Genomic DNA, 13,193 nt, shown 5'->3' with positions numbered 1-13,193 from the left:
CTTCTTGGTTGGCCAGGGGTGGCCTGAAAGGCTTTTTCAGGCTGGCAATGTGGGGGTACAGCTACTGGATCAGCCTTAGAGTGTGCCTTCCAGGGGCACCCTGTGGGATTGTTTCTCAGGCCTGGGATGTGGTTGGACAGCTGGCCAGCCAGCCTGAAGGGCATGTCTGCAGGAAGTGAGCCACGATGCTGCATCACAGGCCCTGATCACGGGTGTGGGGGCTTTGGGTAGGACAGGGGCATGTCAACAATGGGAGTGGGTACCACAGGGTTGTTTCTCAGGCTGTGGGCACAGGAGTATAGACATTCTGCTGATAGGGCAGCATGTCAGCTGCTTAGTGGCTCAAGGACCTCTCCTGCTTTGTGGAGGGTGGTCAGCAGTTTGGCTGGCTCAAGAGCATATTTGCCCTGGGTGGGATTGCCACATAGTTCCTCTGTCTCAAAGTGCAGATGGTTGGGGTCGTCTTCTCTGTTGCGCAGGACCAGAATCACAGTTGATCCTAAGCCCAATCTATGCATAGTGGGATTATGGAGTTTAGCCACCCTTGTGAGATTTGTAGAAAGAAGATGGAGCCCTGATGCTGCAGAGGTGCAGTGGCTACTGACTCCATAGGACGGTGCACTCCAGAGGTGGCTGTAGTCTCAAGATGGCACAGTGCTGCTGATGCCACAGCTTGACTCACAGTGGGTGAGTGGAGGTTGGGAGCACACACTTTCTGTTCCTAATCCGGAGCAGTGTGGTAGCAAGAATTTCAGACAGCTCTCAAAACTAGGCTCAGGGCTTTCAAGGACTGTGGCATTCTCCTGTAGTAAGGACTGTGGGTAAGGCAATGGGGGCTGGTGGAGTTGTTCTGCTTACCCTTTTCCTGTAAGGGGAAGTCCCTCCTGTCTCCAGGCTGATTGAAGCTGGGTGGAGCAGATGGGGCTGCAGAGGCTGGGTAACTCTGCACTGCTCTCCTGGATTTCCAATCACCTCAGCTGCCTCTGCAGTCCCCCACTGCACTCCAGTGCTTTCCCTTCAACATTTCAGTAAAATTTTAGCTGTTTTACCTGTTTATTCATCGCCTTGGTCCTTCCTGGATAGGAGGAGCGGGAGCAAGATCCATACATCTCTAGTCAGCCATCTTGCTCTATTTCCAGCTCTTTCTTTGTTATAAACTTTCCTTAATCTAAATTAAGAAATTAACTTTTAACCTAATTATGAACAGATATTGAATGTTATCAATGATTTCTATTGAGTTAGTTATTTGGTTTTACTTTTCCTTAAGAATCCATTAATGTAGCAAATTTCATATCTAGATTTTCTGATGTTAAAATCAACTTGATCATGATATAGGTTAAATTCAGTTGGCTGGCCGGGTGCAGTGGCTCACGCCTATAATCCCAGCACTTTGGGAGGCCAAGACAGGTGGATCACCTGAGGTCAGGAGTTCAAGACCAGCCTGACTAACGTGGTAAAACCCATCTCTACTAAAAATAGAAAAATTAGCTGGGAATAGTGGCTGGCGCCTGTAATCCCAGCTACTCGGAAGGCTGAGGCAGGAGAATTGCTTGAATCCGGGAAGCAGCGGTTGCAGTGAGTCGAGATCACGCCATTGCACTCCAGCCTGGGTGACAGAGTGAGACTCCGTCTCAAAAAAAAAAAAAAAAAAAAAATTCAGTTGGCTGGCCAGGCGCAGTGGCTCACACATGTAATCCCAGCACTTTGAGAGGCCAAGGCGGGTGGATCACAAGGTCAGGAGATCAAGACCATCCTGGCTAACACAGTGAAACCCCGTCTCTACTAAAAATACAAAAAAAAAAAAAAAAAAAAAAAATTAGCCGGGCATAGTGGCAGGCGCCTGTAGTCCCAGCTACTCAGGAGGCTGAGGCAGGAGAATGGCATGAACCTGGGAGGCAGAGCTTGCAGTGAGCGGAGATCGTGGCACTGCACTCCAGCCTGGGCAACAGTATGAGACTCTGTTTCAAAAAAAAAAAAAAAAAGAGGCCGGGCGCGGTGGCTCACGCCTTTGTAATCCCAGCACTTTGGGATGCCGAGGCAGGCGGATCACGAGGTCAGGAGATCGAGACCATCCTGGCTAACACGGTGAAACCCCGTCTCTACTAAAAATACAAAAAATTAGCCGGGCGAGGTGGCGGGCGCCTGTAGTCCCAGCTACTCGGGAGGCTGAGGCAGGAGAATGGCATGAAGCCGGGGAGCAGAGTCTGCAGTGAGCCAAGAGACTCCGTCTCAAAAAAAAAAAAGAAAAATTCAGTTGTCAGTTGGCTAATATTTTATTTAGGTTTTGTACTTATGTCCGTAAGTAAAATTGGCTCATAATTTTCATTTTTATTCCTTGTATTATCTTTATCCATTTTAAGAACCAAGTTTATATTAAATTACTAAAATAAATCTGGCCGCTTTATCTCTTTTTATTCCTCTGAGTTGTTTTAGAACACCTTTTATATAAGATAGAGAAGATCAGTTCATTGAAAGTTTGGTAGAATTTGGAGTGTGCCCCACATTTTAATTTCTTTTATGGTAATTGAGCTATTGAAGTTTCCAATTTCATTTTGTACCTTTTTATTTATTTCATATTTTCCTAAACTTATCTACTTCATCTATGCTTTCAAATGTATTGGTGCTTAATAATGTCCATTGTGCCTCTCTTTCTGTTTATCCAATCTGCAGTTGTATAACTTCATCTGCTCTCTTAAATTCATCATTCTTATTTGAAGTTTGTGTATCTTATTAATCTATTCATTAAACCAGCTTTTATCTTTGTTTGTTTTAAGATGGAGTCTCGCTCTGAAGATGGAGTCTTGCTCTGTCATCCAGGCTGGAGTGCAGTTGCATGATCTCAGCTCACTGCAACCTCTGCCTCCCAGGTCCAAGCGATTCTCCTGCCTCAGCCTCCTGTGTAGCTGGGATTACAGGCATATGCCACCATGCCCGGCTAATTTTTGTATTTTTAGTAGAGATGGGGTTTCACTATGTTGGTCAGGCTGGTCTTGAACTCCTGACCTCAGGTGATCCACCCACTTCAGCCTCCCAAAGTGCTGGGATTACAGGTGTGAGACACCACGCCCAGCCCAGCTTTTGCTTTCAATAGTCTTTTTATTGGTTTTTGTGTACATGACTTCCTTGATTTTTGAGCATTTATTATTTCTGTATTTCGTATTCCTTTGGTTTAACCTGCTCCTTGAATAAACTTCTTAGCTCACTTGTTTCCAATTTTTCTTAAATGTATTTAAATTATAAATATTTTCTAAATACTCTTCTAGACGTACTCTAACATTTCTGAATAACTTGTGATTCAGGTTTAACTATTTTGTAACTTCTTACACTATTTTCTCTTTAACCCCAAATTTACTTAGTATTGTGGGGTTTTCTTTATTTTTGTTTTTAATATTCAGAAAAAGTTTGAGCTCTCTTTTCTTTTTGATTTCTAATTTTATTGCATATCTTCAAAGAGCAATAGATCTGTGCTGTCCAAAATGGCAGCCAATATAGCCATGTGTGTACCAACCACTTGAAGTGTGCCTAGTCTGAATTGAGAAGCATTGTAAGTGTAAAAAAACACCTCCAAATTATGAAGACAGTGCAAACAATATAAAGTATCTTATTGATAAGTTTGATATTGATTACAAGCTAAAATAAAATATATTGGATATGTTGGGTTAAACAAATATGTTTATGTAATTAATTTCACCTCTTTTAAAAGTTTTTAAAATAGAGCAACTAGGCCGGGCGCGGTGGCTCACGCCTGTAATCCCAGCACTTTGGGAGGCCGAGGCGGGTGGATCATGAGGGCAGGAGATCGAGACCATCCTGGCTAACACAGTGAAACACCGTCTCTACTAAAAAATAGAAAAAATTAGCCAGGCGTGGTGGCGGGTGCCTGTAGTCCCAGCTACTCGGGAGGCTGAGGCAGGAGAATGTCAACAACCTGGGAGGCGGAGCTTGCAGTGAGCCGAGATCATGCCACTGCACTCCAGCCCAGGTGACAGAGCGAGACTCCGTCTCAAAAAAAAAAAAAAAATAGAGCGACTAAAAATTAAAATTACATATGTGGCTTACATTATATTTCTCTCTATATATAGTGGTATTGATGCATGTGAATTATTTTAAATCTCACTGAAGAATCATCTGTATTTTAGCATATGGTCAACTTCCCTGAATAATGCATGCGTGCTAGAAAAGAATGTATATTCTCTGTTTGTTGCATGTAAAGTTGCATGTAGACCTATTATCTTGAGATTCATAATCCTGTTATTGAAACTCCTAAAGCTCTCCTTCCTTTTATCTTCTTGATATATTGGTTTTTCAGAGGATTATGTAAAATTTTCCGACTATAGTTATTGATTTTTCTTTCAGTCGTTATACCTTCTTGATCTCACATTCCTTTTATAAGTTTATAATGTGTCCAGACAAGGTGTTGTAGATTTATTTTTCCTCGTTCCTTCCTGCTGATTACTATGAACACTAGAAATAACAAACAAGAACTCTGACAGGTAGGAAAAGGAAATTGGACTGGGTAGACAGGGACCCCAGGACTGGAGGAACATCATGTTAGTGGGGCATCTTATAACTCCAAGCCTAGCAATAGAAGATGGCCCACGTAGACTTATTCCTCCCCCTGTGGAACAAGGGCCCCACTAACAACACCAGGTAAGCCTGGAGGGATTGATTGGAAACCCCACTAACCATAAGCAGCCAGAGGGGATCCCATCAGGCCTGAGACTCTCCTCTCCCATCTAGAGCAACAGGTGGTTGGGCAGTACCATCACAGGGGACCTGCCACAGCAATCAGAAGCCCAATCAGACCTGGGAATTCCTATTCTCCCACCCGAAACACACAGACACACAGACACACACACACACACACACACACACACACACACACACCCCTAGAGACACCAGGTGGTTGGTTAGTACAGGCAGGTGGAAATCCCACCGTATAGAGATAGAGGACTCCACACAGGAAGCACTCTACTTCCATATGGACTGAAGATTCCCTTTCCCCACCTTGGCCCAGACTGGGCAACCTCTTTCCACTCATTCAGGCAACACCAGCAGGGATCAGTAGATAACCCAGAGCGGACCAAAATAGTGACACAAAGGTTCTGAAGACTAAATAGTCACTGGAAGCACAGCCCACCACAAAAAGTAGACCAAGGCCTGTATACTATATACTAAACCTAAATAAATCTTCTAAAAAATGAAAGATTTAAATAGAACCCAAAGTGTCTTAATATCCAGAAATCAATCCAAAATTACCCATCATCCCAAGAAATAGGAATATCACAACTTGAAAGACAAAAGACAATCAACTAATGCTTATACTGAGAAGAATCAGATTCTGGAATCATCTTGTCATGAGGTAAACCCTCATAAAAAACAGTTTCAGTAAGAAATTACAAATTTTCTTTTTTTTTTTTTTTTTTTTTTTTTTTTTTTTTTTTTTTTTTTTTTTTTTTTTTTGAGACGGAGTCTCGCTCTGTCGCCCAGGCTGGAGTGCAGTGGCGCGATCTCGGCTCACTGCAAGCTCCGCCTCCCGGGTTCACGCCATTCTCCTGCCTCAGCCTCCCGAGTAGCTGGGACTACAGGCGCCCGCCACCACGCCCGGCTAATTTTTTGTATTTTTAGTAGAGACGGGGTTTCACCGTGTTAGCCAGGATGGTCTCGATCTCCTGACCTCGTGATCCGCCCGCCTCGGCCTCCCAAAGTGCTGGGATTACAGGCGTGAGCCACCGCGCCCGGCCACAAATTTTCTTAAAACTGATGAAAAAATAAAAAATCTTAGCAAAGAAATACGTTATAAAAAAAGAACCAAAATAAAATTATGAAATTAAAAATATACAATTACTAAAATATTTAAAACTCACTGGATGGGCTTGATAGTAGAGTGGAGATGACAAATAATAGAACCAGGGAACTTGAGGAGAGATCACTGTAATTTACCCAGTCTGAACAACAAAAAGAAAATGGACTAAAAATAAATGAACACAGCCTCTGGACCTTTCTTTGGGACAATGACACAAGATCCAGGAATCTTAACATCAGAGTCCCAGGAGAGAAAAAAAAGAGTAGGACTGAGAATATTTAAAGAAATAGCAGAATATAATTTCCCAAATCTGGTTTACGTTCCAAATTATGAAAGACATATACTTACAGATTCAAGAAGCTGAACGAACCCCAAATAAAGTCAAATAAATTCCTACCAAGACACATCATAATTAAAATGCTGCAAACTAAAGATAAAACAACTATTAACAGCAGCAGACAGAAATGTTTCCATTACATCCAGGGGAACACCAATTTGATGACACCAGGTTTCATGTTTGAAATCATGAAGGCCAGAAACAAATAACACATTCTTTAAGTGCTGTCAACTCGAAGAAAAAAAGAAAAGGAACTGCAAACTGTGAATTGTATCCAGTGAAATTATCCTTCAGGAATGAAAAGGAAATCCAATCATTCTCAAATGTATGCAAACTACAAGAATTTGTCGCTATCAGATTTAGCCTTAAGGAATGGTTAAAGGAATTTCTCTAAACAAAAAGAATATAATAAATGAAAGTATCATGGAGTATCAGGAAGCAAGGAAGGAACAATAGAAAAAGTAAAAATAAGGTCAAATACAATAGGTCATACCTCTTCTCAAATTTTACAAAATAATGTCCATTTTTTGTCCATTATAATGTTTTTTTAATCTTGAGTTTAATTTTTTTTTTTTTTTTGAGATGGAGTTTCGCTCTGTTGCCTAGGCTGGAGTGCAGTGGTGCAATCTCGGCTCACTGCAACCTCCGCCTCCCAGGTTCAAGCAATTCTCCTGCCTCAGCCTCCCAAGTAGCTGGGACTATAGGCACCCACCACCACGCCCAGCTAATTTTTGTATTTTTAGTAGAGATGGGGTTTCACTATGTTGGCCAGGCTGGTCTCGAACTCCTGACCTTGTGATCCTCCCACCTCAGCCTCTCAAAGTGCTGGGATTACAGTTGTGAGCCACTGCACCCAACCAAATTTAATTTTATTAATAATAACATTGTTATCTGGCTATTTTTTGTTCATATTAGCCTGGTTTATATTTAGTAATAACTTGGATTTTAATATTTTTGTTTTGCTTGAATTCCAATGTACGTTTTGAAAAAAAATATTGCTGCATTTTGTTTTTTTTACTTATTAGTTTTTTTTTTTTTTTTTTTTTTTTTTTTTTTTTGAGATAGAGTCTCGCTCTGTCACCAGGCTGGAGTGCAGTGGCACCATCTCAGCTCACTGCAACCTCCACCTCCCAGGTTCAAGTGATTCTCCTGCCTCAGCTTCCTGAGTAGCTGGGGACTACAGGCGCCCACCACCATGCCTGGCTAATTTTTGTATTTTTAGTAGAGACAGGGTTTCACTATGTTGGCCAGGATGGTCTTGATCTCTTGATCTTGTGATCCACCCTCCTCGGCCTCCCAAAGTGCTGGGGTTACAGGCGTGAGCCACCGTGTCTGGCCCTACTTACTAGTTTTTAATCCAAATGGAGATTCTCAGCCTTTTGATAGATAAGTTTGACCCATTTACATTTATCGTGATAAATTATATAATAGGTCTTATTTTGTGTTTTCTTTTCTTTTTTTGACACAGGGTTGTGTTTTCTCTTTTCCATACTTTCTGTTTCTTCTATTCCTCTTCTCTCAGTTTCCATGGAATAATCACTTCTTTTCTTTTTTTTTTTTTTTTTTTCTGAGATGGAGTTTTGCTCTTGTTGCCCAGGCCGGAGTGCAACGGCGCGATCTCGGCTCACTGCAACCTCTGCCTCCCAGGTTCAAGTGATTCTCCTGTCTCAGCCTTCCAAGTAGCTGGGATTACAGGCATGCAACACCATGCCTGGCTAGTTTTGCATTTTTAGTAGAGACGGGGTTTCTGCATGTTGGTCAGGCTGGTCTCAAACTCCCAACCTCAGGTGATACACCTGCCTTGGCCTCCCAAAGTGCTGGGATTACAGGCGTGAGCCATGCACCGGCCAGTCACTTTGAATATTTTACATCCTATTTTTATTCTCCTGGTGCTTGTACCTAATTTATTAAAACCCACACCTATGTTTCTTCCCCACCTCCCATCCATTTTTTATGGTTGTGAATGTGTATTTTTTTATGCTGATCAGCCCAGGGTACTATATACAGCAAAACTATTTTTTCTTTCTTTTCTTTTCTTTTTTTTTTTTTTTGAGACAGAGTCTCACTCTGTTGGCCAGGATGGAGTGCAGTGGCATGATCTCAGCTCACTGCAACCTCCGCCTCCTGGGCTCAAGCAATTCTCCTGCCTCAGCCTCCTGAGTAGCTGGGATTACAGGTGTGTGCTACCATGCCCGGCTAATTTTTGTATTTTTAGTAGAGATGGGGTTTCACCATGTTGGCCAGGCTGGTCTCAAACTCCTGACCTCAGGTAATCCGCCTACCTCAGCCTCCCAAAGTGCTGGGATTACAGGCGTGAGCCACCACACCCAGCCTTTTTTTTTCTTTTGAGACGGAGTCTCGCTCTATCTCCCAGGCTGGAGTGCAGTGGCATGATCTTGGCTCTCTGCAGCCTCCCCCTCCCAGGTTCAAGCGATTCTCCTGCCTCAGCCTCCTGAGTAGCTGCGATTACAGGTGCACGCCACTATGCCCAGATAGTTTTTTTTTTGTTCTGTTTTTTGTTTGTTTATTATCATTATTATTTTGAGACAGAGTCTCACTCTGTCACCCAGGCTGGAGTGCAGTGGCACAATCTGGGCTCACTGCAACCTCCGCCTCCCGGGTTCAAGCAATTCTCCTGCCTCAGCCTCCCGAGTAGCTGGGATTACAGGCATGTGCCACCATGCCTGGCTAATTTTTGTATTTTTAGTAGAGACAGGGTTTTGCCACGTTGGTCAGGCTGATCTTAAACTCCTGACCTTAAGTGATCCACCCACCTCGGCCTCCCAAAGTGCTGGGATTACGTGAGCCACTGCACCTGGCCAATGTTTTCTTTTTTGTATTTTTAGTAGAGATGGAGTTTCACCATATTGGCCAGGCTGGTCTTGAACTCGTGACCTCAAGTGATCCACCCATCTTAACCTCCCAAAATGCTGGGATTATAGGCGTGAGCCACCACACCCGGCCTAAAAACTGAAAATAGAACTACCATATGATTCAGCAATCCCATGACTGAGTGTTTATCCAAAGGAAAGGAAATGAGTATATCACAGGGATACCTGCACTTCCATGTTTATTGCAGCCATATTCACAATAGCAACTTAAGTGTCCATCAATGGATGACTGGATAAAGAAAATGTGGTATATATACATAATGCAACACTATTTGGCCATAATAAAAAATGAAATACTATCATTTGCAGCAAGATGGATGTAACTGAAGGTCATCATGTTAAGTGAAATAAGCCAGGCATAAAAAGACAAGTACTGCATGTTCTCAGTCACATGTGGCAGCCAACAAAGTTCATCTTATGGAGGTAGAGAATAGAATGATGATTACCAGAGGCTGGGAAGGGTGTGGAGGGTGATGAAAAGGGGTTGATTAACAGGTACAAACACACAGTTAGATAGAAAGAATAAGAATCTTTAATAACGCAGTTAACAACAATATATTGTATATTTTAAAATCACTAGAAAAGAACATTTCAAATTTCCCCAACACAAAGAAATGATAAATGTTGAAGGTGATGGATATCCCAAATGCCCTGACTTGATTATTATATGTACTATGCATGTATCAAAATATCACATGTACCCCATAAATATGTACAAATATTATTTATCAATATTACATTTTCTTCTTGTAACCAGTCCTGCTATTGACAAATCAGATTTATTTATTTAATTATTATTTGTTGAGAAGCCACAAAATGCCAGGCACTGTTTTTTTTTTTCACGTTGATACCTTTTATTCTTCTCAACAATCAAAATACAAAGTTAAACACAATTGAGCCATTGTTTTGGTTATGCATAATGTGTATGCCTCCAAAAACAGAAGAAAAATAGGAAGAAGTACCCTCACTAAAGGTTCCCTGACTCGTCTTCCGGCAGATCCAACGAAGGGAGACTCAGGAAAATCACAGTTAGAAAGCTGCCCAATGAGGTATTTATGCAAAAAGAGTGTTCTGGAATTAAGAACATACTTTTATATTCCTGTATTTCTCAAAGAGATCAGAAAAGTAAATCACACACATTGAATTTTATTATTTTCCAAAAGAGGCCTCTGCCCCTTTAGAAAAATGAAATGAGGGGAGACAGCCCACGGTGGGGGTTTTAATTGGAAGAAGTCCTCGGCCAGAAACAGTCCTGAATGTTTAACCTCTGCCTTTCAGGAAAGAGGTCTGAATTTTATCATCTGGGGGGTGGGATGAAGGTCGGGGACTGAGCTGGAGGTCTTTAGGCTTGGTCAGGTGACAACACAAATCAACGTGTCGCTCAGGCTCCATAGCTGCTGGATGGCTTTTAGGGTGTCAGATGTTTGGGGAGACGGAGGGAACAGAGCACTGCAAAGATACTTTATTCCTATCTACTGGGAAAAATATGCTGGAAGTATTCAGCTTCAGGTCATGAATTCGACCTGCTGTAGAGGTGTAGGGTTTTTTTTTTTGTTTTTTTTTTTTTGAGACGGGGTCTCACTCTGTCCCCAGGCTGGAGTGCAGTGGCGCGATCTCAGCTCACTGCAAGCTCTGCCTCCCGGGTTCACGCCATTCTCCTGCCTCAGCCTTCCGAGTAGCTGGGACTACAGGCGCCTGCCACCACGCCCGGCTAATATTTTGTATTTTTAGTAGAGACGGGGTTTCACCATGTTAGCCAGGATGGTCTCGATCTCCTGACCTTGTGATCCGCCCGCCTCAGCCTCCCAAAGTGCTGGGATTACAGGCGTGAGCCACTGCACCCGGCCGAGGTTTAGGTTTTTTCAGGTTCTCTCATCAGCAACCCACTGGAAGGTAAGTGTGGGGAATGCACCAGTTAGTTCCCACTGTCCGGGCTGATGGAGATCTGACACTACCTGGTACTATTCCAGGCACTGTTTTTAACACTGAGGATTTTTTTTAATTGTGATTGTTTTCTTTTGTAGGTGATCTATGTTTTGTTTCTGGAAGGCTTTAGAATTTCTTCGTTAGATTTCACCGTAATATGTGGTGTCTTTTCATAATTTTGTTTGACTCTCTATGAATAATTTCACTATGAAGTCTTTAATTTTTTATTTTTCCATAATTCTTGATTATTTCTTAAAATAGTTCCTCCTCTCTGTTTTTCTTTCCTTCTGGATTCTCATAAAGTCTAGTCAGGCTCCATACTGCTTAATATTTCTTTCGTATTTTTCAACTTTTTCTCCCTTCCTGATATCTTCTGGAAGTGTAGAGTTCCCTAGCCTGATATTGCAGCTTCACTAGAATATTCTAGATATTCACTTTTCAATTTTACACATTCTGCTATCCAATCTAGTATTAACCATCATATTTTGACACACAGTTTCGTTGTTTTTATTTTTATGACAAGTTCTTGCTTGATATTTCCTGTATCCTCCTTTATCATTCTTAGGATAGCTTTTTAAAAGTACGTGTACAGGCCACACACCTCCTAGGACCAACTGTAGCCATTTGTCTTCCTGTGGGTTTCAAATCAACTTTTCAATAGTTGCTCAATCCAACAATTTTCCCTCTTCCAGACAATTCCCAGATTGGATTTTGACAAAGAAGATCCTCTTTTATGTTAGAAAGTGGAATTAAATTTTCCTGCATAACAATATGACCACATACTCAGTGGTCCAAAATAGCACACGTTTATTATCTCATAGTTTCTATGGGTGAGAGTCTGAGCACAGCTTAAGTGAGTCCTTTGCAGCCAGCTATCAAGATGTCAGGCAAGACAGGGTTCTCATGGGAAGGCTCTACAAAGAATGATTCACTTCCAAGCACACAGAGCTGTCCAAAGGGTTCAGCTCCTTGCAGGTTGTGGGACCAAGGGCCTTCGGTTCTTGCAGGCTATTGGCTGGAGGCCATCCTCAGTTCCTTGTCATATGGGCCTCCCCAACATCACCACCACTTCATCAAAGCCAGCAAGAGAGGAGTCTCCTAGCAAGACACACGTTAGACTTTTATGTCACCTTTATTGCACTGTATTGGTTAGAAGCAAGTCCCAGTCCATACACAAGAGGGGATTGCACAAAGGTGTAACTACCAGGTGGCTGAGATAACGGGAGTTACAAATCCCTTCTGGGAGCTGGAAATCATCTTTCCTTGAAGTTTCTAAAAGCCACTGAACGGTTTGAAGCACTAAAGTAATAGCATATTCTTGTTTTAGAAAGAGCACTAGCCAGAAAGTGTCGAGAACAGATTGGTGGTAGAGAAAACCTTAGTTAGGGAATCCAGTTACCAGGCTGCAACGGCAATCCTAGTGAAATGGTGGTGGCCCCAACTAAGGTAATGCTACTGGGAATAGAGAAAGATGGAAACAATTGAGTTATTTAAGATATAATGAATAGGACTTGGTGATAAATAGATGGTGAGATCAAAGAGTTAAGAATATTCAGGCTCTGGTTTGTGCAAATGAGTGAGTGGGCAGTAATGTCATTCACTGAGAAAAGGAGGGCAGTCTAGACACGAAGCTGGAGGTGGATGGGTTAGTCCTCTAACAGAATTGGAGAGACTGAATAACCCTCCCTTGAAAGAACCACCTTTTATGCTACGTTTAAACTAATGCTTATGTCTGCAAAGAACCTATTGCTTAAATTTGTTACAACAGGTTCAATCTTTTCAACTCGTTTTAAATACATGAATTTTAGGATTACAAGTAGTCTGTGGATACAGGAACATCTGACTGAGTGTACAAAGAGGGACCTGCTCTTCCTAAAAACATCCTTCGTATGTTTTGAAAGCAAAAGGATGAGTTCTGGGCGCACAAAATATGGATAAAAGCTATGTATTTTAACGTATCTTACACCGGAGTAATTTGGGTTGAACTCAGCAGCCCTAAGCACTGTGCCACAGGAACTTGTGCAGACAAAGCGCGGGGACGGACCCTGACTCCGGTCCGCGTCTCCGCTGCTCCCTCCCTCCCTTGCCCTGAGGATTAGACACAGGAGATGCTGCCTCATACTCTCGCGAGACGGACGGAGCTCTTCGATCGGCCGATTCTCCCAACCTCACCATGGGTGCTCCCACCTGCGGAGAACCGGAGTCTGGCGATGCCAAGGCGCTTCTGGGAATT

Source organism: Homo sapiens, chromosome 17 (genome assembly GCF_000001405.40).
Source record: "Homo sapiens chromosome 17, GRCh38.p14 Primary Assembly".
Taxonomy (NCBI): domain Eukaryota; kingdom Metazoa; phylum Chordata; class Mammalia; order Primates; family Hominidae; genus Homo; species Homo sapiens.
The sequence above is the reverse complement of the archived record's forward strand: the minus strand, read 5'-3'. Positions refer to the sequence as shown.